Source organism: Homo sapiens, chromosome 15 (assembly GCF_000001405.40).
Source record: "Homo sapiens chromosome 15, GRCh38.p14 Primary Assembly".
NCBI lineage: Eukaryota > Metazoa > Chordata > Mammalia > Primates > Hominidae > Homo > Homo sapiens.
The window spans coordinates 51,711,345-51,736,938 of NC_000015.10; the positions used below are offsets into that span (position 1 = coordinate 51,711,345).

General features: G+C 41.6%; 2 protein-coding genes across 6 annotated transcripts in view, besides 4 other annotated features; one reads left to right on the plus strand and one right to left on the minus strand.

Annotated features, from left to right (window-relative positions):
• Positions 1-9,682, plus strand: part of SCG3 (secretogranin III) — a 39,524-nt gene extending 29,842 nt beyond the window's left edge. For both annotated transcript variants that reach the window (NM_013243.4, NM_001165257.2), the window contains 2 exons: positions 1,989-2,069; positions 8,064-9,682. In NM_013243.4, the coding sequence (NP_037375.2) occupies positions 1,989-2,069; positions 8,064-8,182 (200 nt within the window). In that variant the 3' untranslated portion in view covers positions 8,183-9,682. The remainder of the gene's footprint in view (positions 1-1,988; positions 2,070-8,063) is intronic.
• Positions 11,667-25,594, minus strand: part of LYSMD2 (LysM domain containing 2) — a 28,441-nt gene continuing 14,513 nt past the window's right edge. For 3 of the 4 annotated variants that reach the window (NM_001143917.2, NM_153374.3, NM_001363969.2), the window contains exons 2-3: positions 13,446-13,777; positions 11,667-12,305 (exon numbers count right to left, since the gene is read on the minus strand). In NM_001143917.2, the coding sequence (NP_001137389.1) occupies positions 12,263-12,305; positions 13,446-13,777 (375 nt within the window). In that variant the 3' untranslated portion in view covers positions 11,667-12,262. Of the gene's footprint in view, positions 12,306-13,445; positions 13,778-19,251; positions 20,517-25,594 lie in introns of those variants that run through there. The other variant, XM_047432340.1, reaches the window with a different exon arrangement.
• Positions 15,069-15,128: a silencer, noted in NCBI's record as "silent region_6433". NCBI's record gives its function as "represses an Ori minimal core promoter by ATAC-STARR-seq in GM12878 lymphoblastoid cells {active_cell/tissue: GM12878}" and the evidence as "EXISTENCE:reporter gene assay evidence [ECO:0000049][PMID:35858748]".
• Positions 23,087-23,146: an enhancer, noted in NCBI's record as "active region_9405". NCBI's record gives its function as "activates an Ori minimal core promoter by ATAC-STARR-seq in GM12878 lymphoblastoid cells {active_cell/tissue: GM12878}" and the evidence as "EXISTENCE:reporter gene assay evidence [ECO:0000049][PMID:35858748]".
• Positions 23,157-23,216: an enhancer, noted in NCBI's record as "active region_9406". NCBI's record gives its function as "activates an Ori minimal core promoter by ATAC-STARR-seq in GM12878 lymphoblastoid cells {active_cell/tissue: GM12878}" and the evidence as "EXISTENCE:reporter gene assay evidence [ECO:0000049][PMID:35858748]".
• Positions 24,017-24,086: a silencer, noted in NCBI's record as "silent region_6434". NCBI's record gives its function as "represses an Ori minimal core promoter by ATAC-STARR-seq in GM12878 lymphoblastoid cells {active_cell/tissue: GM12878}" and the evidence as "EXISTENCE:reporter gene assay evidence [ECO:0000049][PMID:35858748]".

The window sequence follows — 25,594 nt, forward strand, 5'->3', positions numbered from 1 at the left end:
CTAACATCATGATACGATATCAGAGAAGATAGTAGAAAAAATGCTTAATATTATGTAAAGAACAAGACTATTTTCAGACATACTCAAAAGTTGCAAAAGCCCTAACTACCTAATGAGTGAATGACAAATCATTATTCATTAAAGTGAGCCCTATGGGGATCAGTAATTTGATTTAAACTCTTTAAAATAATGAAGTTGCATTGTTTAGAAATGGTCTGCACTAAGATTTCTCTCTTTGTTCAAAATACCTTATCTAACTGAATTAATTTGAAATAGAAAACACTGTATTTTTAAAATTATTATTTATGTATCTGTTTATTAGTAGAGATAGGGTCTCACAATGTTGTGCAGGCTGGTCTTGAACTCCTGGCCTCAAACAATCCTCCCTCTTTGGCCTCCCAGACTGCTGAAATCAAGGAAGTTTCTACACCAACTATTGAAGTAAATAAGGACTAAAAATTGTGGATCTCTTCTGGTGTCCATTTACCCCTTTTTGTGTAGTAGTCTCTGTGCTTCTTTGGGGACCAGATGACACAGATCTTCGGTGGTAAGGCAAGAGTGGGCTTCAAGATCAGGAAGAAAGATGCTCAGAGAGTCACTTAGGTAAATACAGTGCGGGCAATTGGAACATGGGCAACTCTTAGGGCAGTGTTATTGTACATGGACTGTAGTTGGAGGTACCCAGGTTCAAGCCTGGCTCTGCTACTTGTTAGTCATGTGATTATGACTTTATGTCTCTGTGCTTCAGTGTCTTCATCTGTAAAATGGGGATGATAATAAGACTGCCTCAAAAAGTTGTCGTGAAGAATAAATGAGACAATGCATTTTGGAGCATAAAGCAGTCCCCAGTACATGATAAGCACACAGTACAGGTAGCTCAACCAAGAGGGCTGTGCAGTAGAGTAGAGGTAAGAGGGCTCAGATGGGGCTCAGAATGGGGTGGTCACCACACTGAGCTCTGCAGCTATTGCTTCTGCAGAGGCCCTGGACTTTGAAAGCCTCTTTTTGTAAGCCATCTGGTACTTTCTAGAGCACCTGGTTTCTTGGTGCTGACTCCCTAAGCTTTAGGGCCTCACCTGGTTAAGAGAGTGGCTGATTTTTTTGATATAGAACAAAGCAACATTACTGTCCATGTCTGAAGGTGAGGTCTTATCCTGCAGGGAATGCAGGTAGCGGAAGCTAAGCAGATCAGAGTCCAAATGCCAGCTGTTATTTCCTGTGTAGCCTTAGCCTACTCACTTCGCCTCTCTGAGCCCCAGATTCCTCATCTCTCAGTGGATGGTAATATCCGCTTGCAGACATCAGTACAGGTAAAGGGCATCACAGAGTAGGTGCATGAGTGATGCCTGGTATTCTCATGCCACACTTGAGGCCCATCGAACAGTGTTTACATCCTGGGGAGTTTTATTAGAGCCAGTTCTAAGGTTTGCCATCCAAACCTTGAAGTGAGGCACTGGTCGCCTCTTTGTCTAAGTTTTTGCCCGCCCCCTGCCAGAATTGGGCAGAAGACTTAGAGCTGCTTACACAAAGCCACACATTTGGACTTTTAACTGAAGTGATGGAATCTTTAAGTATCTGCCACTCTCATTCAAGTCCTTGGCTTGATGATGCTCCTCAGTTTGGAAGAACCATCCCTAACCAGAAATGAACTAATCTAAGGACCCATCTATCTAGTAAACTGAATCAAAACTCTTCTCTGCCAGGACATCAAGGTGGATTTATTTGTGTGTGGGAATCATGCCCCTTGACACTTACCAACTTGATTCTTCCTCCTGGAACCTCATCCGCACCTGCTCTCCTTGACCTAAACCCCTCAACACACAAACACACATAGACACATACAAATATGTACATTACCTAGTTAGGGAAACAACCTTGCAAATGCTGCATAAGTCTAATATTTGTGGTTCTGAACATACGTGTGGTCTTTAAAATGAGATGTAGTGATATTTCCTGAGTGTTTGATATAGTTCTCTTACCTCTTCCAGGAAAAACAGAAGCCTATTTGGAAGCCATCAGAAAAAATATTGAATGGTTGAAGAAACATGACAAAAAGGGAAATAAAGAAGGTAGGACCAAGTGTGGTTGTACATTGCAAACTTCACCCATTTGTCAGGGGCTCTTGTTATATAAAAATTCCCACAGTCAAATTGACTGTGCTAAAGTCTCCCCGCAGAGCCCAAAAAAGACTGAAGTCACCTGTCAGATACAGAGGGGAACAGAACCTCCATTTCTCTTATTATTCAAATTAGCCTTTCAAGCAAAGGCGTTTTCTTTTCTTTTACGTTTTATTAGGAAAAATGTCAAGCAAACGTAGAACGAATAGCATAATGGATCCCTGTGTCTCCAGCACCCATCTTCAATAATTATCAAATGTTGCCAGTCTTGTTTTATCTAGCCCCCCTTTCTTGGAGTATTTTAAACAAAGGCATTTTCTGAGCACAAATTTTGTGCACCCTGCAGTCACAAAAGCAGTCACTCGCTTACATAAAGCAAAACACAGAACCAGGCCCTGTTCTAAGTGCCAGAGATGTCCCGCCCAAGGAATGCACAGCGTCATTAGAGCTATGGTTGGCCCTGCTCAGTGATGTCATGGATAGGTGTGTTACTGCCAAGGAGGTGAGAAGATGGGATGGATCTTCATACTAGGACAGAGACAGTTGAGAGAAGGGCCACAAGTCTTCTCTGGAAAGTTAAGGATGAATCTGCCGAGTGAGGAGAGATGGAGGCAGAGCGAACACTAGGTACCAAGACATAAAGGGACAAAACAGAGGGGTGGTTCTGGGAACTGGAGCCATTCATGTCCCCAGGAACAGTGGATGTTTGTGGAGAAGAGCAGCATATAGGGTTGGGAAGTGGGCAGTAGCCATGCCAGGAAGACATTTATGTACTCTTCAGAGAAGGTTGGTTTTAGCCAAGGGAGCCTAAATTGGGGCCTAATTAGGTTAAGAGCTGAGAAATCCATCTGGCAGCAGTGTGACTACAGATTGAAAAAATAAGACCCCAGAAGGCAGCAGAGAGATAAGGAGGTAAGACAGAGAGATCTGGAGCAGAAATATGGGGCTGTAAACCAGGGGACAACAGAGGAGATAAAAAGGAAGGGAGGAACTCAAGAGCCATGTGGAGAAGGAGGATTCTGACACGATTCCCAGGTATCTGGCCAGAGCAGTTGCAAAGTGATGCCTTCCTAAGAAACAAGTAATGCTTCTCAAACTTTAAAGTGCATCCAAATCACCTGGGGAACTTCTTAAATATCCCACTGCCCAGGCTGCACTGCAGCACCACTAAATCAGAAATTCTGGGGACACAGCTCTGGCATCAGTATTTTTTCAACTCCCCAGGTTATTCCAGCGTGCAGCCAAGTTTGCAAACCGCTGAGATACAGCACAGAGGGAGAAAGAGGTATTTTCAGCACCCTGGTAGCTTAGGTCTTCTAAGTTGAGTGATGATGGCAATAATTATCGATGTTCATGCATACTTTATTTGGTTCAAAATGATTTGAATTTCCAGGCTGTCAGTTACATTAAAATCTACATGAACCATATTTCATCGAATCTGTCATTGATTAAAAATGCACCATTGTTTTATGTGCCATTAAATTACAACATGCCATCAATGACTGCAAAGACTTTAAAATTAAAATGTTCATCTTAGAATCACTGTAGTACACTGTGTGCCAAAATACATCCCAAAGCCATGATAAATTGTATGGTACATCAATTTGGAGTATTTGTTACTGTTTTCACTGATTAGCATATGAATCAGACTCCTGGTCATAATCAACAACATCTTGCAATTCAATGTTCCCATTCCAGAAATGACCAACCTGGTGAAGCATAGAACTCTGGTGCTTGCATATGGAAGGCTCTGTTAGCAAACTGGCATTGGGTTCGATGCTCCCTTTTGTCTCTGGGAAATATGCAGTATGCCCTCTTGAAGACAGAAACAGAGCTCTTTCTCCACTGCTCTCATATGCGCTCGGCTTGACTTGGGGTCATCTTCTCAAAGCCTGTGGGGGATCTGGGTCCTAGGGTCATGCAGTGGCTGCAGCTGTATAAGCAGGGAGAATTACTATTAGTTCTGACCTTTCTTAACCATTGTTGCCACCCTTTGTTTGGTAAGGGACTGGGTGACCTGAATCCCCTTCCCAAACCCAGGAAAGGGAGGTCCATGTGATGTGATAGTGAGGATAATGAGAAAATCTTATGTAGCCTTAAAAAAATATGCTTTTAAAAAGCGAATCACAGCCCTTCTCTCCTTTGAGCCTTACAACCTTAAAACTTCTTTTAAGGTTAGCAAGATGGCTACTGGCTTATGTCTCCTAACCCCCAGCTAGGGCAGAGTTGGCATTAGACCAAAGGGCCTTTCCTTTGCACCATGCTGGTTTTCCCACTGCACACAGTAATAGCCGTGTCATAAAGATAACAATTTTTCCTTTTCAAAAGAAAGCAAAATATTTGCCTGTTTGTCCATTCAAATCACTGGACCTCTTCACATCTGTCTTTGGGAGTCTGCACTTTTTTTTTTTTTTGAGACAGAGTCTCGCTCTGTCGCCCAGGCTGGAGTGCAGTGGCACGGTCTCCGCTCACTGCGAGCTCCGCCTCCAGGGTTCACGCCATTCTCCTGCTTCGGCCTCCCAAGTAGTTGGGACTACAGGCACCCGCCACCATGCCTGGCTAATTTTTCTTATTTTTAGTTGACATGGGGTTTCACCGTGTTAGCCTGGATGGCCTCAATCTCGTGACCTCCTGATCCGCCTGCCTCGGCCTCCCAAAGTGTTGGGATTACAGGTGTGAGCCACCGCGCCCAGCAAGGCAGTGGTTTTCAAACTTTGATGCACATTAAAATCACTTAGCGGGAGTCTGCCTTTTATTCCATTAAAGATGTTGACACTGCAGCCTATTCTGCAGAGGCAGTATTAATGAACCAGGAATAAACAAGAAGTGCCCTTTGTGCCTTAGGGGTCAGGAATAAAGGAATCATCGCCTTAGGTGCGGTGCCTGCAAAATGTATGTTCAGCTTCGTTCTCTACTTCGTGCCTGAGAGAATGGGAAAAGTGAAAAACAAAAATAAAAATGAGCATTTATTGAACATTTGCTTTGTACCTGTTAGATGTTTTATAGTCAGTACTACAAGGCTATGGAATGGTCAATCAATGACCAGCATTCAGAACCTGACTCTACCACTACCTGAGCAAGTAACTTACCCCCTTTTCTGTTTCTTCATCTCTGAAATGAGGATACTAATGCTTACCCATGAGTGTGGAAAAAGCAACAATGTGCTTTCTCCTGTTCTCTCACTCAACACAACAATCAACACAGAAGACTTCTGTGACCAAATGCGTGGGGGTTTCTCCCCACCACCAAGCAAGCAATCAATTCTGCAGCCGACACTAGCTGGTTGTCCGCTGATTCAATTCAATTCCAACACTATCTACTTAGAGTCAGCCTCAGACACCACAGGGTGAGGGCGCAGTCCCAAAAGAGTGCCCCTTCCTTTGCACCAGTTGCATGTCCAGGCCTCTGGAACAGCTGGCTGACTGGCTTCAAGTTTCGGTTTCCACAGCCTCCTCTTAGGGTTCAGTTAATTTGCTAGAGTGGGCCTGGTATGGTAGCTCACACCTGTAATCCCAGCACTTTGGGAGGCCAAGGTGGGAGGATCACTTGAGGCCAGGAGTTTGAGACCAGCCTGGTCAACATAGCGAGACCCCATCTCCACAAAAAATTTAAAAATTAGCCAGGTGGGCCAGGCACAGTGGTTCACACCTGTAATCCCAGCACTTTGGGAGGCCGAGGTGGGTGGATCATGAGGTCAGGAGTTCGAGACCATCCTGGCCAATATGGTGAACCTCCATCTCTACTAAAAATACAAAAATTAGCTGGGCGTGGTGGCACGTGCCTGTAGTCCCAGCTGCTCAGGAGGCTGAGGCAGAAGAATGGCGTGAACCCGGGAGGTGGAGCTTGCAGTGAGCTGAGATCACGCCACTGCACTCCAGCCTGGGCAACGGTGCAAGACTCCGTCTCAAAAAAAAAAAAAAAATTAGCCAGGTGTGGTGGTGTGCGCTTGTAGTCCCAAGTTACTCAGGAGGCTGAAGCAGGAGGATCACTTGAGCCCAGAAGTCCAAGGCTACAGTGAGCCATGATCATACGACTGCATCCAGCCTGGGTAAAACAGTGAGACCCTGTCAAAAAAAAAGAAAAAAAGAAAAAAAAAGGATTGCTAGAATTCAGAGAAATGCATTTACTGGTTTATTAAAAGGATATTTTAAAGGATACAAATAAACAACTAGATGAAGAGATACATAGGGTGAAGTCTGGAACAGTCTGAAGTGCAGGAGCTTCCATCCTTGTGGAGCTGGGGTGCAACACCCTTCCAGCATGTGAATCAGTTTTTGTTCACCTTCCTGTCAGCCTCCACGTGTTCACCTATCTGGAAGCTCCTGAACCCTGTCCTCTTGGGCCTTTCATGGAGACTTCATTGGATAGGCATGATTGACAACCATGTAGGAATGTGATTGGACAAAAAGGACATGGTCTAAACCCAGTAAGGCCTATCTCTGCAGATTCTTCTTGGCCTCTCTGTGCAACATTCCTTCCTCCAGGGTACAGGGTAGGACCCTCTATGGATCAAGGGTGTTATGACCCACAATCAGATTAGAGTCCTGCCTTGGCTGGGTGAAAGGAGGGCAGGTCAGAGAGAAAGATTCTGCTTCCTGAGGCCTTCTTCTGAGGCCCAAAGTGCCCTAACATTATGACAAAAGGCTGAAACAAGGGATATGGGAGTTATAAGCCAGGAATCATGGACGAAAACCTATATAGATAGTTAGATGATGGATGGATGGATAGATAGATAGATAGACAGACAGACAGACAGACAGACAGACAGACAGACAGATGTCATAGGGTATAACCTCGTGGGGTTTTGTGGGGGGCAATTAAGGTGATGGCTGTAAAGTGTCCAGTGCTGGGATTTCCCTTTCAATCCTCATGGCTGTGCCCTAACAGGGAGCAGATGTCCTGCTTGCCAGAGAGGATATAAGCCCTGTCTAAGCCTCACTCACTTAGTGATTGTAGAGAGGTCCTTCATGGTTCGTTTTCCTTTCTCATAAGAGCTTAAGGATACCCAAGTGACCCAGGCTCAGATTACATTCAGGCTCGCTAAGGGTGGCTGCTAAACCACCCTTTTATACCCACTCTCTCCTTTCTCTTCTCCTCACCAACTAACAGAAAGCAGCGTTCTGTCTAGTCATTTACAGCTGTTATTGCCTAATACTTAAAGGATCAAGGGAAAATGGGGGTTTTTAAAAGGCTTCAGAAAGGTGTCATAGGCAGCCTCCTTACCTGGAAATCTTTATTTTTGGTGGGTGTTTTGACAATGTATATAGATTTTGTTTGTTTGTTTGTTTAAGGAGGACAGAGGAACCAAAAAGAGTTTACAGTTTGGCTTTTTGCTCCTTGCATACAATTCAAACAGCATGAAATAAAGTAACTCTTAATTTGAAAAAAAAAAGTGGGTTGTCACATCAACATGGACTTAAACCTAGTATAAGTCAGGAAGTCAGGAAGTCAGAACACCCGGTTCTGATCATAACTTTTACTACCTATGTGACCTTGAACAAGGCACTTAACCCCGAAGTGTGGTTCCTAGACCAACAGCATCAGTATCACCTGACAGCCGTTTAAAATGCATAACCTGGATCCTCACCCCAGACCTACTGAATATGAATCTGCCACTTCCCAATAGCCCCAGGTGTTTGGTATAAACATTAAAATTTGCAAAGCCCTGGTCATGAGCCTATTTCCTGTTTGGTCAAATGGGGATGGTATGACCCACCTGAACATCTCACAGGGTTGTGATGAAGCACAGATGAGATAATACATGTAAATATTATTTTATACTGCAAAGTACTACACAAATGCCAAGAATTAAAATGCCTCCCGATGTGAAAGATGGGGAATGGTAATTGTGTTATTGTATAAAATGCTTCTCAGTTAATGGTAATCACTGTAATGGGATTGGCCTTTCCTGATCTTTGCTCATTATGCTCTAATAATATTTTCCAGATTATGACCTTTCAAAGATGAGAGACTTCATCAATAAACAAGCTGATGCTTATGTGGAGAAAGGCATCCTTGACAAGGAAGAAGCCGAGGCCATCAAGCGCATTTATAGCAGCCTGTAAAAATGGCAAAAGATCCAGGAGTCTTTCAACTGTTTCAGAAAACATAATATAGCTTAAAACACTTCTAATTCTGTGATTAAAATTTTTTGACCCAAGGGTTATTAGAAAGTGCTGAATTTACAGTAGTTAACCTTTTACAAGTGGTTAAAACATAGCTTTCTTCCCGTAAAAACTATCTGAAAGTAAAGTTGTATGTAAGCTGAGATTTTGTATACAGAATCCTTATTTCCTCATAGACTTATATTTTATAATCAGAATATGTTGCTTTGAAAAAGCCTCTAATGGACTGACCTTAAAACTCATCCTTCTTCCACTGTCTCATCCACATAAGCACTCCCCGAAGAATTAAGGGGGTTCTGTTTTCAAGGCATGCCAAGTACTAAAGCACCTTGCAGAGCGTGTCTATTACAAGATGTCATTTCCACCAGCAGTTCCCTTAGGGGAGCTGAAATAAATTCACATTTTCTCAAAGTCTCATAGCTTTGGAGGAGCCATCTGCTTTTTTGGCTGCTCTTTTTAGCTGGCTTTTTATTAGGCTCAGTGACATAAAAAGGATCCAGGTAAATGGGTATAGGATTTGCTGGATTTACTAACAATTTCCCCCTGTTCTTAACACTTCCTATTAGTGACTTTTCAGACATTGAGTTTACTTATAAAGAGAGATATTTATGTACTCTCTAAGAAGACAAATGAGGTCATAAACACTGCATAAAGCAAGGCAAAAATGTATGCCACATCTCAGTTATCTAAACTAGATTAGATCCAAGCCAAGTTTTCTCAACAGAGAGCAAAGGGCCAGGCAGTAAGGTAGAAATAGAGATAAAAATCATTCCTTCCTTGTGATCCAAAGCTGGTCGAGCAGCTTTCCTGGAGGAAAAGGTTAATGAACTTCAGGTCCCTGCAACTCAGCCCCCACCACAAACACAGCCCTGGAAACATACAGTGGCGCAAGGTCCTCTTGAAATGTTAATGGTTAATGTTCCCAAACCAGAGAATGCTTTGAAAATGTATCATTCAGTGTAAATTAATTACATACATATTTTTCTATATATTTGTTTCAAACTGTAAAAATAACATAATATGTAATTTGTGTATTAGTGAGAGGTGAAGCCAGCTGGACTTCCTGGGTCGAGTGGGGCCTTGGAGAACTTTTCTGTCTTACAAGAGGATTGTAAAATGCACCCATCAGTGCTCTGTAAAACACACCAATCAGCGCTCTGTAGCTAGCAATAGGTTTGTAAAATGCACCCATCAGCACTCTGTAAAACGCACCAATCAGCACTCTGTAAAATGCACCAATCAGCAGGATTCTAAAAGTAGACAATCACAGGGAGGATTGAAAAAAAGGGCACTCTGATAGGGCAAAAACGGAACATGGGAGGGGACAAATAAGGGAATAAAATCTGGCCACCCCAGCCAGCAGCAGCAACCTGTTCAGGTCGCCTGCCGCTGTGGAAGCTTTGTCCTTTTGCTCTTCATAATAAACCTTGCTACTGTTCACTCTTTGGGTCCGTGCCATCTTTAAGACTATAACACTCACCGCAAAGGTCTGTGGCTCCATTCTTGAAGTCAGCAAGACCACAGACCCACCGGCAGGAACCAACTCTGGACATATTGGCTGTCACTGTTTCAAATGGTCTTTGACACCTGCATTGCTGTCCTGAATGCCCCTACCTGGTATCCCACCTTTTGGTGGGGACTGTGGGGGAAAGGCTGGTTTCTTCTCTCATCCTCTCCAGAGAGCTGCAAAAACAAACAAAAGCCAAAGCCTGACACACACACACGAACTAAACTCAGTATGTTCTAGAGAAGCCAGTACCCATCTGTTGAGTGGGGAGAGGGAACTAAAAACACCTTTGCCCAAATAACACTTGCCAAAACATAGTGAACCAGACTGTTTCCATGAGTCATCTTTGATAACATGACTGACTCTAATTCAGCCATACCCAAACAGGCTACGTGTCCATCAGACAATAAACTGGTGCTGGCTAAAACATTTTATCCATTCACTTTTCTATAATGTATCTAAACATGCAGTATTTTTAAAAATAAGACATGTACTTAGGGAGTTTGTTGTGGTTCTCAAAGCACATTGGCATTCATTAGCTCCTATCCATAATCAAAACAAAAGGAACATCATCAGTCCCGTTTTATGAAACAGGAAACTGGTTCACAAAGGGAACAAAAGCACAGGATACACTCCAGCTTGTGCGGCCAAGAAATGGTAAAGTTGGGATAGAACGTAAGTTTCTTGTCTCAGCCCACTCCAGTGATTCTATGTGCAAGGTAGGGACTAAAGTACTCAGTCCAGAATAGTTTAACTGTGGCCACAAAGAATTCCAAGTTACTAATAACTTGAAGATGACCAATGTTTTGGCTAGAGAATGCTAAGAGAGACCTTAGGCAAAAATAAAATACTCAGAAAAAAATGTTTTTGAGATTGTGGTCTTAATTTCAAATTTGAGCTCATGTTATGTCTTTTGGATTACTCTCAAATTTCAGAACATTTTATGTTAAATAGCATGATAACTCTACATTTTTAATGGTTCCTAGGCCACCACAGATGTTTGTTTGAACCTTTTCTTACATACATACCTGTTTTCCTTCCCTTATTTTTTTTCATTTAGGTCTCTCTTCATCCAACTAACTCCCCACAGTTCAGGTAGTGAATACAAGAAAACAGCAAAGCATGATCAAGAGAGTAACCTATTTCAAAGATGCTATAACATGAGAAAAAAAAGACAAGACACAGGGATTATATATATTAGGAACAAACAAGAAAATCAGCAAGACAGGGGCTGACAGCTACTGTTTCCCATTGATGCAGCAGTTGCTCAGCCTCAGGGCTTAGATATGTGCAGTTCTAACTCTGCAAGCTCTGATGCATTAACACCTAAGGGCACTTGTTTCTTGCTTAATGGATGACCTGGAGAAGCAAGACAGGGGAAAACAAAATGAGGGAAGATAAAAGAAAGAGAGAGAAGAAAAAAATAACAAAAAGAAGAAAGTGAAAGTATTTTTGCTATGCTGGGATGGGGTAGATATGAGGAATTTTTGTGGAAGCCTAAAGATTTATTTAATCTAAGAGTTGAACAGAAATTGAGACCAAAACAATATTTAATTATAAATGATATATTGCTTAAAGTGTCCTACTGTAATCTATACATATAATAAAGACCAATTAAATTATGGGAATAAAAATCAATTCAAATAAGTACAGGACTACCAAACACTTATAAAGTAACTTAGCAATGAAATCTATACTAGAATTCTGCAATATAATGTCAGATTATGGTATTATTTATTTGTTCTTTTGATTTATTCCATGTTTTCACCATATCTGAATCACATTAGGTCAATGAAAATGCCAAGATTACTAGTAATTATACTTGTTTTGCTTTTAGATTATGAATACTTTTTTCAAAATTGCATTTATAATAATAAAAACCATTAAAGTGAAGAAGAAGCTGTCAGCATTTAAATGTATAATTTAAAAGTCAATTTTATTTTCTCATTTGTTAAAAAAAAAAAGGAGACTCAAGTTTGAAAACATAGTTTATTTTCTCATTCAGGCTTTTGTAGTTTATTTTTACAAAATAGCAGACAAAATTTGGTTCTTTATATTAATAGAGAATATGTAAGACATATCGAAATATATATATAGCACTTAAGTTATAAACACACAGCAAATTCAGCATCACTTAAACAGCAACCATATTTTCACATAATCAGGATTGCATAAGGAGATAAACATTATTTTTAGCCTAAATATATAAATAATCTTTGATGCTTTATGTCAATTAGTATTTATAAAAGCTAGTCTAAAAACTAACACCACCTACAAAAGTGATGAGCTTTAGGCTACAACCTTGCCATCATGCCATAATAAAGACTTAAAATTATAGAAAGCCAGAGGGAACTAATCACTTCAGTGCAACTGCAGCAGGTAGAACTACCTAGTTATGATTTTAAGATGGACACTATAGGAATCCAGAAGGGATGTTTTTGAATCTTCAGTTGTTGGATTCTTTATGGTCCAAACATATCTTAATTTTGGTTAGAGTTATGCCCCCAAATCACCTAACTGTGATAGAGGGAAGTTGCATAGGGACTTTCTTCATCTCTGAAAGAAAATAAATACAGCATAAATCAGAGTTTAGAACTGTATGCAGAAAACTAAAACATCAACTTATTATACAATATCCACTTGCCAAAGAAGGAATATATCAACTTAGAATATTGTGCATGCCTAGACAACTGTATGAAATGCCAATACTTAAGACATACCTTACTATCTCCATTTTATTCATATCTCAGTTATTAGAATAAATAATGTCATTCATTTATGTATTTATATTTGCTTATATTTACATATATTTTAAATCTATACTAAATTATATTCATATTTATATTTGTTTATGTTTTCTATATTCTACCTCTTTCCCAAAAGGATTTAAGGTACTAACAACAAAAGGCATATATACAATAAGATTAATAAAATAGAAATAAAAAAATCAGGACTAAGGAAAGGAGAAGGAAACCAATGTATTAATCATAAGAAATATTATAGGAGTTGAACACAGGTATCAATTTTAGTTGCAAGCTTCCCAATAGCCAGAGCAAAAAAGGAAACACAGTAGATTGTACTTTTTTGAAATCAAATCATAAAGAAAAAAGGAAACCAATTCTATAGGAGAGAGAAAGATTTGCCCTAATATCAAATTTAAAAAACAAAGAAAAAAGTTCACATGAGATCTTATGTAGGAAACACCCAGTAACAAATAACAGACAATGTCTTTGACAAGTTTTGCAACTATCAATATTTTACAAGTATTTTCTATGACACTACTTCTCTTGAAAGTGTCAGTGAGAGAGACACTTTTATTTTGCCGCTATCCAGAAGTGCTAGCTGGACAGTGACGCTATTAAAGCAAAGAAGCAAACTTTTTATAGTAAATAACAGATAAAAACACTGCAACAGATAAAGCCTTGTGCATCAGGCAGCAGCTCTGTTTAGAGTTTATATACTAAAAATGCCTTTCTAGAACTAAAATGCAGTTTTTAAAGCAAAAAAAGAAAGAAAGAAAGAAATTAAGAAAGGAAGAAATTAAGAAAGAAAGAAATTAAGAAAAAAAGAAAAAAAATCAGAAAGAAAGAAAAGAAAAGAAAAGGCAAAGAAAAGAGAAAAGAAAGATTTGGCCCAGCAAGGACATCTTAATAGTGATTTATTTAGACTTTGACATTTGTACCAGGGTATTCTTACCTGCTCTCTTCTTTTAGCTTCTTGGCTGCCTGTGTTGATAACTTAATCTGCAAGTCAAGTCTCTGCAGGAAATCTCTGGCTGACACTTCCTCAGGCTGCACAGGCTGAACATCAGATTCTTGAGGACTGGGAGGAGGGAGGTCTTCCCCGGCCACCACTGGCTCCTCTTCCTGAGAAAAACTGTTATCAGCAGTTTCATTTTCTGGAGAATCAATGGAGTTAAGTCCATTAAACAACAAAGGCTTCTCTGATATAACTGGGATGTTCAAAGTTTTCTTCAGAAATATACAATCATTGGTAAACAGTTTATTGGCCCTTTTAATCTGTTCCATCTAAAATATAAAAAAGGAGACACAGAATTACATATAACCAAGTCAAGGAGTAAGATTTATTATACAATACAGAACTACCAATATTCATAAGCAAAATGTACACAATGCTTTCTTGGGATTTGAGACTCTTCATTCAGGTTTGGTAACCTCCCCAGATATCTCTAGTTATTTCAAGAGATGTTGGAGAATTGTTTCCCAATTTTTAAAAAGGACAGACTAATTTTTCCACATTATACTATTTCTACTACAAGGCAGCTTTTAACATCAGTGGACTTAAATCTCTGAAGTTTAAAAATGTAAAATTTTTAGCACTTAATAAATTCCATTCTTGTTTTAACATTTCTATTATCTGATTTTTTTTAAACTTACCATTGCTGCTGTTTTACTTATGAAGTGCTTCCCATGTCTCTAGAACTGTACTTAGTAAATACAGTTACTGTATGAACATGAGCTTGTTACTTATATCATTGATCCTTTCTCCTCATGTGTAAAACAGGTACCATCTACCTTTCACAGGGTTGTTGCAAGGATTAAATGAGAGCTTATATACCCACTCACATCAAGGAAATATATATATATGAGAGAATATATAAAAATATATGTACATTCTATACATATATTCCCATATATATCTATATGGAAAGAGAGAGAGAAAGTAGTGATTAGAGTGTCTGGCAGTGGATGGTACTTACTACTCTCCACTTTGCGATGAAGAAATCAAAACACAAAAGAGATGGTAGATTTGACCAAGTACATATGGCTCTTTAAATGTTTAAAATGGGATTTTTGTCTGACTCCGAAGTCCGTACAACATCTGAATTAAAGTACACAACTAATGAAATCACATTATGGGGAGCCTTTAATGCCAAATGAATTCTGAGTAAAAACAAAAAAATTGTATTTCTACTTCAAAAAGCCTGCAAAAACAACAGTCAACTAAGTGGACCCTGTTCATCCTGCTTTGTTATAAGCTGATTCCATGCAAATAGTACATGTAAAGCTTTCTTTTTTCTTCTAAAGATACTCCATTAAAGGAATGAGATTTTTAAAAAGGATGGTCTTTTGTGTTCTCGTTTCTAGTTTAAGGGGAGAAAGAGAACATAAACATGGGCAGGTGCCTTTTAGAGACAAAATTAAAATCTAAAAACCCCAAGTATCTCTGGTCTAGTTCAGGTTTGAAAGGGTTAATAACTTGGACACTTTGCCCGTAGCAGGTTCAGGTATACCTATTGCTATTTCGCCTTTAGGACCCCTAGATCTTGCCCCCAAGCATCCAGCTGCTCTATCTCTCTTAGTGCATAGGCTTCCAATGACACTAAGCCCTCCCCTGGCTCCAGAGTGAGCATATGACTCATTCCTGCCCTGGGGAGCATCACAGGCTTTTGTGATAGATCACAGACCCATGACAGAATCATTCAGACATGCAAAGAGACTCCTGCAGGACGGTAGTCGAGGGGAGAGTTCTCTACTGCTTTCTGCTGGAAGGAGATAGGCTGGAGATGCTGGCAGTCATCCTGGCACCTTGTGGAATCTGATACTGGAGTCACCTTAGAGGTGAGCATTTGAACTTCTGGATCACAGCCTGAAGACAGAACATGCTCAGTTCCAAGATCCACTAAACTCCACTTGGAGTTTGTTTTTTGTTTAGGCCAATTTGAGTTAGGTTTTCTGTCACTTGTAGCTGAAAGAGCTCTTGCTGATACAGTGCCCTTTGAAATGCTTATCAGAAGGGGACTACGACTGCTAATAGTCATTGCTTCCTGGGAATAATGATGGAAGACAGAAACAGATGGGACCAGGATCCAAACTGCTGAGCAGAGCTAGGAACTGCAAGAGTACACTATTAATTCTTTGAGGGCAAGAACTGGTTATTGCTATAGCCTTCCTGGTCTGACAAAGATCTCATACACACTAAGTGCTTAGGATGGATGGACAGGTGGATGGAAGGATGGATGGATGGATGAATTAACGCAGGTCAGAGGAGTGGGCATGGAAGATGAAGTAATCAGAAATGGGTAGTAAGTTATCTGTCGTGCTGCTTATTCTCCTTTCAAACCCACTCTCCCCTCCCAATCCATTCCTCCACTCTTCTTGGGCTTATTCTAAACCCTAGGAGGCTGACTTTTTAAGAACGGCATTACCCAGGTCCCCTTGTCCTTGGAATTCCAGTTGGTTTTCAAACAGCAGCAGAACGACCTTACCATAACCAGTGGCTGCATTCCTCTCTGGTGAGAGTTCCTATCAGGAGTCCCAGATCCAAGGCTCCAGATCTTGCCAGTGTTCCCTTGGCCCTTCAGGCCTAGGGGTAATGTCTCCCTGCTATTGCTAGTCTCTGGGTGCTTCAACTTCCCTTGTTGGTTCCCTCAACTATGCCCACATTCAGTAAATGTCCCTTTATTAAACTCTCTTCGGCCACATCCTCTGAGAGTGTTATCTGTATTCTGCTGCAATGCTGACAGATACATCTATCATACAGAGCACAATGGGCCATCAAGGCCAGGCAAGGGGCCTACAGAGGACTAGACAAGGTGACAGACTCAGAGGCTGTGTGCAGTCAGGGAGTCCACAGGCAGTGAAGGGCTAGGCTCCCCCTGGCTTCTGTACATACTGCTGCACAAGTGACTCACTATAACTGGTCCACAAGCTTCCTAAAGTCAGGGGCTCCACTGTCTTCATCTCAATGTCATTAGTAAGCATTTAAGATGTATGTGGACCTTTATGGTCTAGACTACAAGATGACACACAAGATGACAGAGTCAAGAACACCAGGGATATTCAGACACAGTTAGCAACAAGGTGGGAACCAATCTAAGGACAGGGGCAGATTTGAGTCTTGAGTTTAATACAGCATAGTACTCAGAAGCATGGGTTCAGGGGCCATACTTTCTGAGTTCACATCCTGGCTTTCCCACTTTCTAACCATTCCCTGTCGGTTTACTTATCAGTAAAGTAAGGATAGTAACAGTTCCTTCCTCTCCATATATCATAATGAATTAATTCATGTAAAGTATTTAGAACAACATATGGGCTGGGCGCAGTGGCTCATGCCTGTAATCCCAGCACTTTGGGAGGCCAAGGTCAGGAGTTTGAGACCAGCCTGACCAACATAGCAAAACCTCATTTCTACTAAAAAAAAGAAATACAAAAATTAGCCAGGCGTGGTGGCGCATGTCTGTAATTCCAGCTACTCGGGAGCCTGAGGCATGAGAATCACTTGAAGGTGGGAGGCAGAGGTTGCACTGAGCCGAGATCACAACATTGTACTCCAGGAGAAAACACACACACACACACACACACACACACACACACACATATGGCACACAAGAAGTACTCAAAGGTGTCAGCAATTATTATCATTAAATTTAATGAAAAGTAAGAAAGCAACAGGTAAGGGCAGATTCTAATGTATAATCAGCAAATGAGAAGGAAGAAGGTAGAAATTTTCTCCCATAAAATATTGTTTCTCAGCGGGACACTGTGGCTCACTCCTGTAATCCCAGCACTTTGGGAGGCCGAGGCAGGTGGATCACCTGAGGTCAGGAGTTCAAGACCAGCCTAGCCAACATGGTGAAACCCCATCTTTACTAAAAATACAAAAATTAGCCAGGCATGATGGCAGGTGCCTGTAATCACAGCTACTAGGGAGGCTGAGGCAGAAGAATCGCTTGAACCTGGGAGGCAGAGGTTGCAGTAAGCCGAGATTGTGCCATTGTACTCCACCCTGGGTGACAGAGTGAGACTCCATCTCAAAAAAAAAAAAAAATTTGTTTCTCCCCCAAAGTAAGAATATATAGGGAAAATCTCACATGGATAAGCCCAGATGAATACCATAATATATCATCACTGCTTTGAGATGTCACAAAAGGCTTTGAATAGGTTTTTCAAAAGGTAATGAAAATCTTAACCTGTTCTTTACAAGCTATGGCTTAGGCCAAATGCATAGGCTCTAAACTCTGTTACCCATGATGAAATATGAAATCAGACATGCAAAGCGCCAGGAATAAAAGCATTCCATCTAGAAAAAGGAGTAGCAAATGCCCTGGGGCAGGAAAAAAATCATGTGGCTAAAGTGTAGGGAGTAATAAGCAAACTTCCAACCAGGCAGGGCCTTGGGTGCCAAGTTAAGGAATTTGGAATTTATTTTAAATGTGATGAGAAGCCACTGGAGAGTGAAGGCAGGGAGTGACATGATCTGATCACAGTTAAAGATTGCTTCAGCAGCTGGGTGCAGAAAATGGATTAGCAAGAAAGAGGCACCTGCCATAGCACAGACAACAAACTGAAAAATACAAAATGGTGAAACGATGTTTTCTTTTGCTTTGGTATGTTTTTATTTATTTATTTTTATTGTTTTTGAGATGCAGTCTCGCTCTGTCACCCAGACTGGAGTGCAGTGGCACGATCTCGGCTCACTGCAACCTCTTCCTCCCGGGTTTAAGCTATTCTACTGCCTCAGCCTCCCAAGTAGCTGGGATTACAGGTGCATGCCACCATGCCTGGCTAATTGTTTGTATTTTTAGTAGAGACGGGCTTTCGCCGTGTTAGCCAGGATGGTCTTGATCTCCTGACCTTGTGATCCACCTGCCTCGGTCTCCCAAAGTATTGGGATTACAGGCATGAGCCACCGCACCTGGCCTCCTTTGGTATGTTTTATACTTCTGTCTGAACGTAGCTGGGTCTACTGTTCTGGCAATTTCACTTCATATAAAGCTAAGAAAAGTCATGATCCAATCCAAGGAAGAGCTGGAAAACTCTATAGCTTTCCCACCTACCCTCTGTTCAACACTTCCTAAGATCCAATTAATGCTGAGACTAGAAAATGTGTCCTTTCAAACTGATGCAGGACTATCCTCTGTTTCTTAGGGATGGATGAATGGGAGTGGGGAGGTACACTGATCAAATGCTTTCATTTCAAAAGTCTCCCTTAACCTAGATTGAATAGTGTAACTCAATGAAATATGAATTTACTGTCTGGTCACTAAGAAACAGTTTATAGAATAAGGAAAGTAACAGCCAAAGGGTGGTCACAAGTTCAAGTATGGTGAAATTAGGTAGAACAACTGCCATCAATAACTTAAAAACAACGTACTGAAAATGACTCCCCAGCCAGGCGTGGTGGCTCATGCCTGTAGTCCCAAAACTTTGGGAGGCCAAGGCAGATGGATTGCTTGAGCCCAAGAGTTTGAGACCAGCCTAGGTAACATGATGAAACTCCATCTCTACCAAAAAGTATCCCCCAAAACATTTAGCTGGGTGTGGTGGTGCACTCCCATAGTTCCAGCTACTTGGGAGGATGAGGCAGGAGAATCGCTTGAGCCTGAGAGGTCAAGGCTGTAGTTAGCCAAGATCTCGCCACTGCGCTCCAGGTCAGGTGACAGAGCAAGACCCTGTCTCAAAAAAAATTTTTTTTAATAAAATAAAATACAATGATTCCCCTGTGAAGGGAATTCACAAAGCATCCCTCCAGAAGATACCTTAAGAGCAGGCTGCTGAGTAAGGTCAAGAACTCTTCCCATCTTGGGCCAGCATCATCAGTCCACCTACCTAATAGTGAATGCAATTCTCAAAACTTCTTTTTCTTCCTCTCCATTCCTTAAAAGATATAAGCTCATCCAAAAATGTTTCAGGATACATAATAACATGTACATAGCACTGTGTGGCTTGCAGAATGTTCTCATATACGCACACAGCTCTCATCTGATTATTAGTTTACAGAAAACAGACTTCAATATTAAATGATTCTCCCAAGATTCACCGCCACATCTGTCTCCTGTTACATTCTAGATGTTGATGGCAATGAGACCAGACCCCTCCATTGCTATGTGTTCATGAGAAAAAGGCTTTTTTTCTTCCCCACACTGTCAGAAAAGTACATGAGATTCTATTTATGGCAAATGTCCAAAAAAGGCAAATCTATAGATTAGAAAGCATATTGGTGGTAGTCTGAGACTGAAGAAGGAAACAAAGAGTGAGAGGAATGGATGGGCATGGGGATCTTTTCGGGGTGATGAAACTGTTCTACCACTGAATTCCAACAATGGCCTCACAACTCTGTAAATTTACTTAAAGTCATCGAATCGTACACTTAAGATGGGTGAATTTTGTGGTGTACAACCTCAATAAAGGTGTTTAAAAAAATAATGAGAATCTACAAACACCCCGAATGACTAAAGGCTACTTTGCCATACCTCTCACTTTTGGTGGCTCTATTTATAGTTATCTTCTCTTTAACTAGCAAGGGTCAGCAATCTCCACCAGCAGCAGGGGTTAAAGTTATGAACACTAAAGATTTACATGCACCTGAGTTTCTAAATCACAATGTTTATTCCCCCAAAAATGACAATCATTTCACCTTTTCTCAGCAAGGTAACTTTCGTTAGCGGAAATGTTAAGCAACAACTTGGCTTAGCAGCTAATTGGCAGAGGAAGAGAAAATCCTGGGAATAAAACTGGCTAGGAAGTAACTGAGGGTACTGCGGGGTGAGGTGGCCTCTGGAGAGGGAAAAAGACAGGCAAGCTGCCTGGAGGAAGCAAAGAGAAAAAAGAAAAAGTTTATGCAAATCATAGGTCCACCTGGCTGCCTCCTTTCCACTTTCAGTTTCTATATGGCTCTCTGGAGGTTTCTCCAGGGTTTCTGCACAAAAATTCACGGTGGCAGCCTAGAGCTGGTCAATTTCCTCCAGAGGCTTGACTCTAACTGAGAGGAGCCAGGATCACTGAAAAAGCAATAGCTAAATCTAGAATACAGGGTTAGGGAAGGAATCTTAATGTCTCAGTGGAGATAAACACACCCAGGGGAATGCCAGGCCAAGCAAGTTTACGTCTGAGGTTTGAACTATATTTAACGGTTACTCAACCCACCCCAAGTAGTTTCAGTTTCCCAGACCCACTTCCTCAAATGCCTCTTCCTCTGGTAGAGCTGCTCAAGCCTAAACTTATATGTCATTCCATGTAAAGACCCACTGCTGGTGGAGGGGAGGAGATGAACACTGAGCACCAGCAAGGGCAGCAGTCTTTTACAGATTTGAGAATGAGCCTCAAACCAAATCTTGCAGTTCAAGTCTTCAGCAGGCCACACCTCTTCACTCAGCCCCTGCCCTGGATCCTGACTTCCAGGGTCCGCTCAGCTCCATGGCTAGCTACTTCATACCAGTCAAGCTTTCCTGTGGCTGAAGTCCACATGTATGCGGAGAACTCACAACATGCCAGGCTCCAGGCTAGCCACAGAAGATACAAACATCAATGAAACAAATTCTCTGGCTTCTCAAGTAGCTAGAAACTACTAGAAAGCAGTAGCTGAAAAACTCACCATGAATAAAAAGAGAACAACATGTATTACCTTCTAGCCCCAGCATCTAGCCCAAGGCCTCAAACCAACCAGACTCAATAGAAGTTGGTTAAGAAAATAATGAATGCCAGTTTTTAATGGCTATTAATGGCTAAAAAGGTGATGGTAGGAAAGAGTCATAATGATCTTTCCTAAGTCACTAGCAGAAGAACTTGGGTCCATCAGGTGTCAGGCCTAGCCAGCTTCTTGAAACTCCAGATTCTTCTTTCCCATCCCCAGGATGCCCAGGCCCATCTCTAGGGGAGAGATATTCAAACTAAACAGTAAACAAACAAGCAGAACATTTACAGCATATCAGCAAATCATCCAGACCCCAGCCACATCTCACCACCTCCTTCCTTCTCTACTGCTTTGGTCCCAGCTGCTATCCTCTCCCACCTGCATTACTGCAAAAGCCACCATCTTATCTGGTTTCCTTGCTTGGTACTAGCTTCCCTACAAACTATTTTTAAAGCAGCAGCCAGAGTGATCGTTTTAATACACAAGTCAGATTATGTCACTCTTCGGCTCAAACCCCTTAAATGCATCCCAACTCAGAGAAAAAGACAAAGCCCTTACAATGGTCTTCAAGGTCCAAAGTGATCTAGTCCAACTATACCCCACTGCATTCTAAGCACCAGCCACAGTACTCCTGGAAGGTGCCAATTATGTTCTCACCTCAAGGCCTTTGCACCACTGGTTATTCCTTCTGCCTGGAATGTTCTTCACCAGATATCTGCACAGCTCCCTCCCTTACCTCCTTCTCAGCAAGGTCTTCCCTGGCCACACCATTTTAAATTCCAGCCATCTCCACGAGCCCTCCCCAACTCCCTCTCCTGCTTGGTTTTTTTTTCATTATGCTTATCAATATAAGATACATTTTCTTTTTCTACTTACTGTCTCCACTAACTAAAATATAAGCTCTATGAGGACATGGATTTTTATTTACTCACTATTGTATCACCAGAAAGGTAGCTCTGAGGGAAAGAAAAAAAATTGGATGAATGATAAATACTGTTAGGAAAACATGGCAGGGAAGTTGGGGAGGAGCGCTGGGGGACTAGGGAGAAAGGCTACAATTTGACATAGAGTGTGCAGAAAAGGCCTTAAGAATGAGATATTTAAGCAAAGACTTGAAGGCAATGAGGGAACAAATCACTCAGCCAGAATCAGCTCCATCATTCGCCCAGGGCCAGTAAAAAAATATGAAAATGTGAGGCCCTTGTTCACAAACTATTAAAAATTTCAAGAGATGACAGTAGAGCATTAAACCAAGTGTGAGGCCCTTCTAAGCATGGGGTCTTCTGTGACTGCGCAGGTCACATGCCCATGAAGCTAGCCCTGTATCCAGCTATTAGAGAAAGACAGATGGAACAGCAAGTGCAAGAACCCCAAGGAAGAACAGTGCTTTGGGAACAAGCAAAGCAGCCATGCTTGTTAAAAATGGAGACTCTGGCCAGATGCGGTGGCTCACGCTTGTAATCCCAACACTTTGGGAGGCCAAGGTGGGCAGATCATGAGGTCAGGAGTTGAACACCAGCCCGGCCAACATAGTGAAACCCTATCTCTACTAAAAATACAAAAATTAGCCGGGCATGGTGGCGTGTGCTTAAAGTCCCAGCTACTCGAGAGGCTGAGGCAGGAGAATAGCTTGAACCCGGGAGGCGGAGGTTGCAGTGAGCCAAGATCAGGCCACTGCACTCCAGCCAGGGTGACAAAGTGAGCCTTTGTCTCAAAAACAAAAACAAACAAACAAACAAAACAGAGACTCCTAGACTCCTTTTCTGGGTATTCCAATCCCATAGATCCAATGTCAGCTAGGATCCTTTATTTTTAGTTTGCCCCAGAGTATTCCTGTCCTGCCCAGGCCAATTTGAGGAACATGGATCTATTCTCACATCCTGAGATATGCCCTGCTGCCAGCCCTTCAGCACCACTTCAGAAAATGGCTCCCAGCTTGTTACCCTTGTAATCCAGGGCTGGCAACCAGGTCTCCATCTTCACCCCCTTGTCGGAGTCTCTGTTCTGGGAACTTCCTTGTACCTAGACTACGACTGGCTCTTAATCAGTCTTCCACCAAAGGACTGAAGTCCTGCCTGACACCCAGCTGGGTGGCTGAGGAGTTGCCATGGAGAGACAGGCTTTCCTGAGAGTTTCTGCTCATCTGTGCAAGATTGACAGACATGGTATGTTAAGGTCAACTGTTTGCTGAACTGACTTAATTTCTAGGTGCACTGCCTTGAGTCTCTAAGCCTCCAATATCTCATTTTCGACCTTTTAAAACAATCATTTAAATATGTTGTAGATGGTCTTGCCAGTCAACAACAGAAACCTAATTTGCTCAACTTCTTTCTGTTCAGTCAGAAGAAAAATATTTTTCTGCCTTTTTAGCTTCCACCTTAAAATCTCACAATGAGTAAACCTAATTAATATCTGCAGATATTAGACCAGTGCAGTGGCTCACACCTGTAGGCCCAGCACTTTGGGAGGCTGAGGTGGGTGGATTGCTTGAGCCCAGGAGTTCCAGACCAGCCTGGGCAACATAATGAGACCCCATTTCTACAAAAAATACAAAAATTAGCTGGGCATGTGGCTTGAGCCTGTAGTCCCAACTCCTCAGGAGGCCGAGGTGGGAAGATCACTTGAGCAGCGGCAGCTGAGGCTGCAGTGAGCCATGTTAGTGCCACTGCACTCCAGCCTGGGTAACAGAGTGAGACCCTGTCTCAAAAAAAAAAAAAATCTGAAGATATTAAAACAAGAATATCACTTCACTGTTATGGTAAGTATTATCACTTTCACTGATTCTATATTACCAGTGGAGGAGTCTCTAAAAATTTTATCAACTATAAGCCAGGGCCCAAAGTAATGAGAAATACATGTAATAAACCAGTGGTCCTCAACCAGGGGTAAATTTGCCTTCTAGAGAACATCCGGCAATGCCTGAATAGGGGTGGGAGAGTGCTACTGGCATCTAGTGGGTAGAGGCCAGAGATGCTGCTAAATATTCTACACTGCACAGGACAACCCCGTGCAACAAAGAGTTATCTGGTCTATAACATCAACAGTGCTGAGGTTGGGAAACCCTGTAATGAACTATGTGTCACTATCAATTATAGTTCCTGATTCATTATCCTTGTGTTTAATATCTTAAAATCAAAAGTCTTTATAAAAGCAACGAAAAATCTGATCTACACTTTAATTTTAAAAAGGGGTAATGAGGTTATGAGTAATAGGATCTATATTAGACATAACAGGGATTAGAAAGCATTTGATCAAAGGTGGAAAACTGCAGTAAACAGATGTATAAGAGTTATCTATAATCAACTCAAGTGAAACCACAGACGGCTGTGGGTCACAGAGAGATTGCACGGGAAGACAGCATGGGAAATAACACTCTTCTGCATGTCATAGATTTTTAGGTGCTGTCACTAGCCTAGTAAGGCAAGATGCCTGAAAACCAGATAGAAAAGACTGTCCTCCTTCAGTAGCCAGGATGCTGAGAGAGCTCCTGATAAGACTAAGATAAAAATAAGGATGGATATCAAAAGTAATATCTAGAGGAAAGCAAATGCTTTATCACTGTTAATTCAAGCTGGTCTCAATGAATGATCATACTTGGAAAATATCCTTACCTCTCATCCATCTTCTCATCTGTAAAAAGATTAATTACACCTACCTCCTGGGCTTATTGTGAAAGTTAAATAAGATAAAGATGAAACAAGACAAACGCAATGCCTGCCACACAGGAGGCATTCAGCAGAGGGTAGCTACTGGTATTTCCCAACTTCGCTTTCCTCTGCCTCTGACTCAAACCAGGCCCCATTAAGGCACATAGAGAATTGTAGCTCTATGTTCACATGTATAGAACTCCCAAGAGGGCAGAATGGGGCTCTCCATGGCATGATAGAGTCAATACATGACTGCACAGCAAGGTCCCTTTCAAAATATTTCAAAGATAGAAGGACCTGATAGGTAAACATATACCGGCTTAAATATGCAAAATACATTCTCCTTCATACTGATGCTCCTTCATTCGGTAAAGGGCCAGAAAGAGTTTCACTTTAAGGGAAAGATATAGATAAGATCCTCTTTCTTCCCATTGCTGTCTAAGGTGCTTCAGGAAAGAACACTGAAAACTGATACAGATCCCAAATGTAAAAAGGCCATCACATAGCTCACAGTTAATTATAAGTAATTTTAATGAAACAATTTGTTCCCTCAGGTTTCCATGTTCTTCCCAGAGGTGTAATGCTATACACCCAAGACACACACACTTATAAATTTGTAATAAACGCAGCCCTCCAGCTCACCACAGTTCTTGGCTGCTGCTTAGCGACAGGTGTCACATTCGCGGTTGCCAGTGAGCCCAGAGGGTGTAATTTCACTTCTACATAAAGAAGCATAATCGATAGAACCAGAACCACCCAGTAGGAACAACTGCACCATTCCTGACTCATCACGGAGCTTGTTTTCACAGACAACAAAATTCA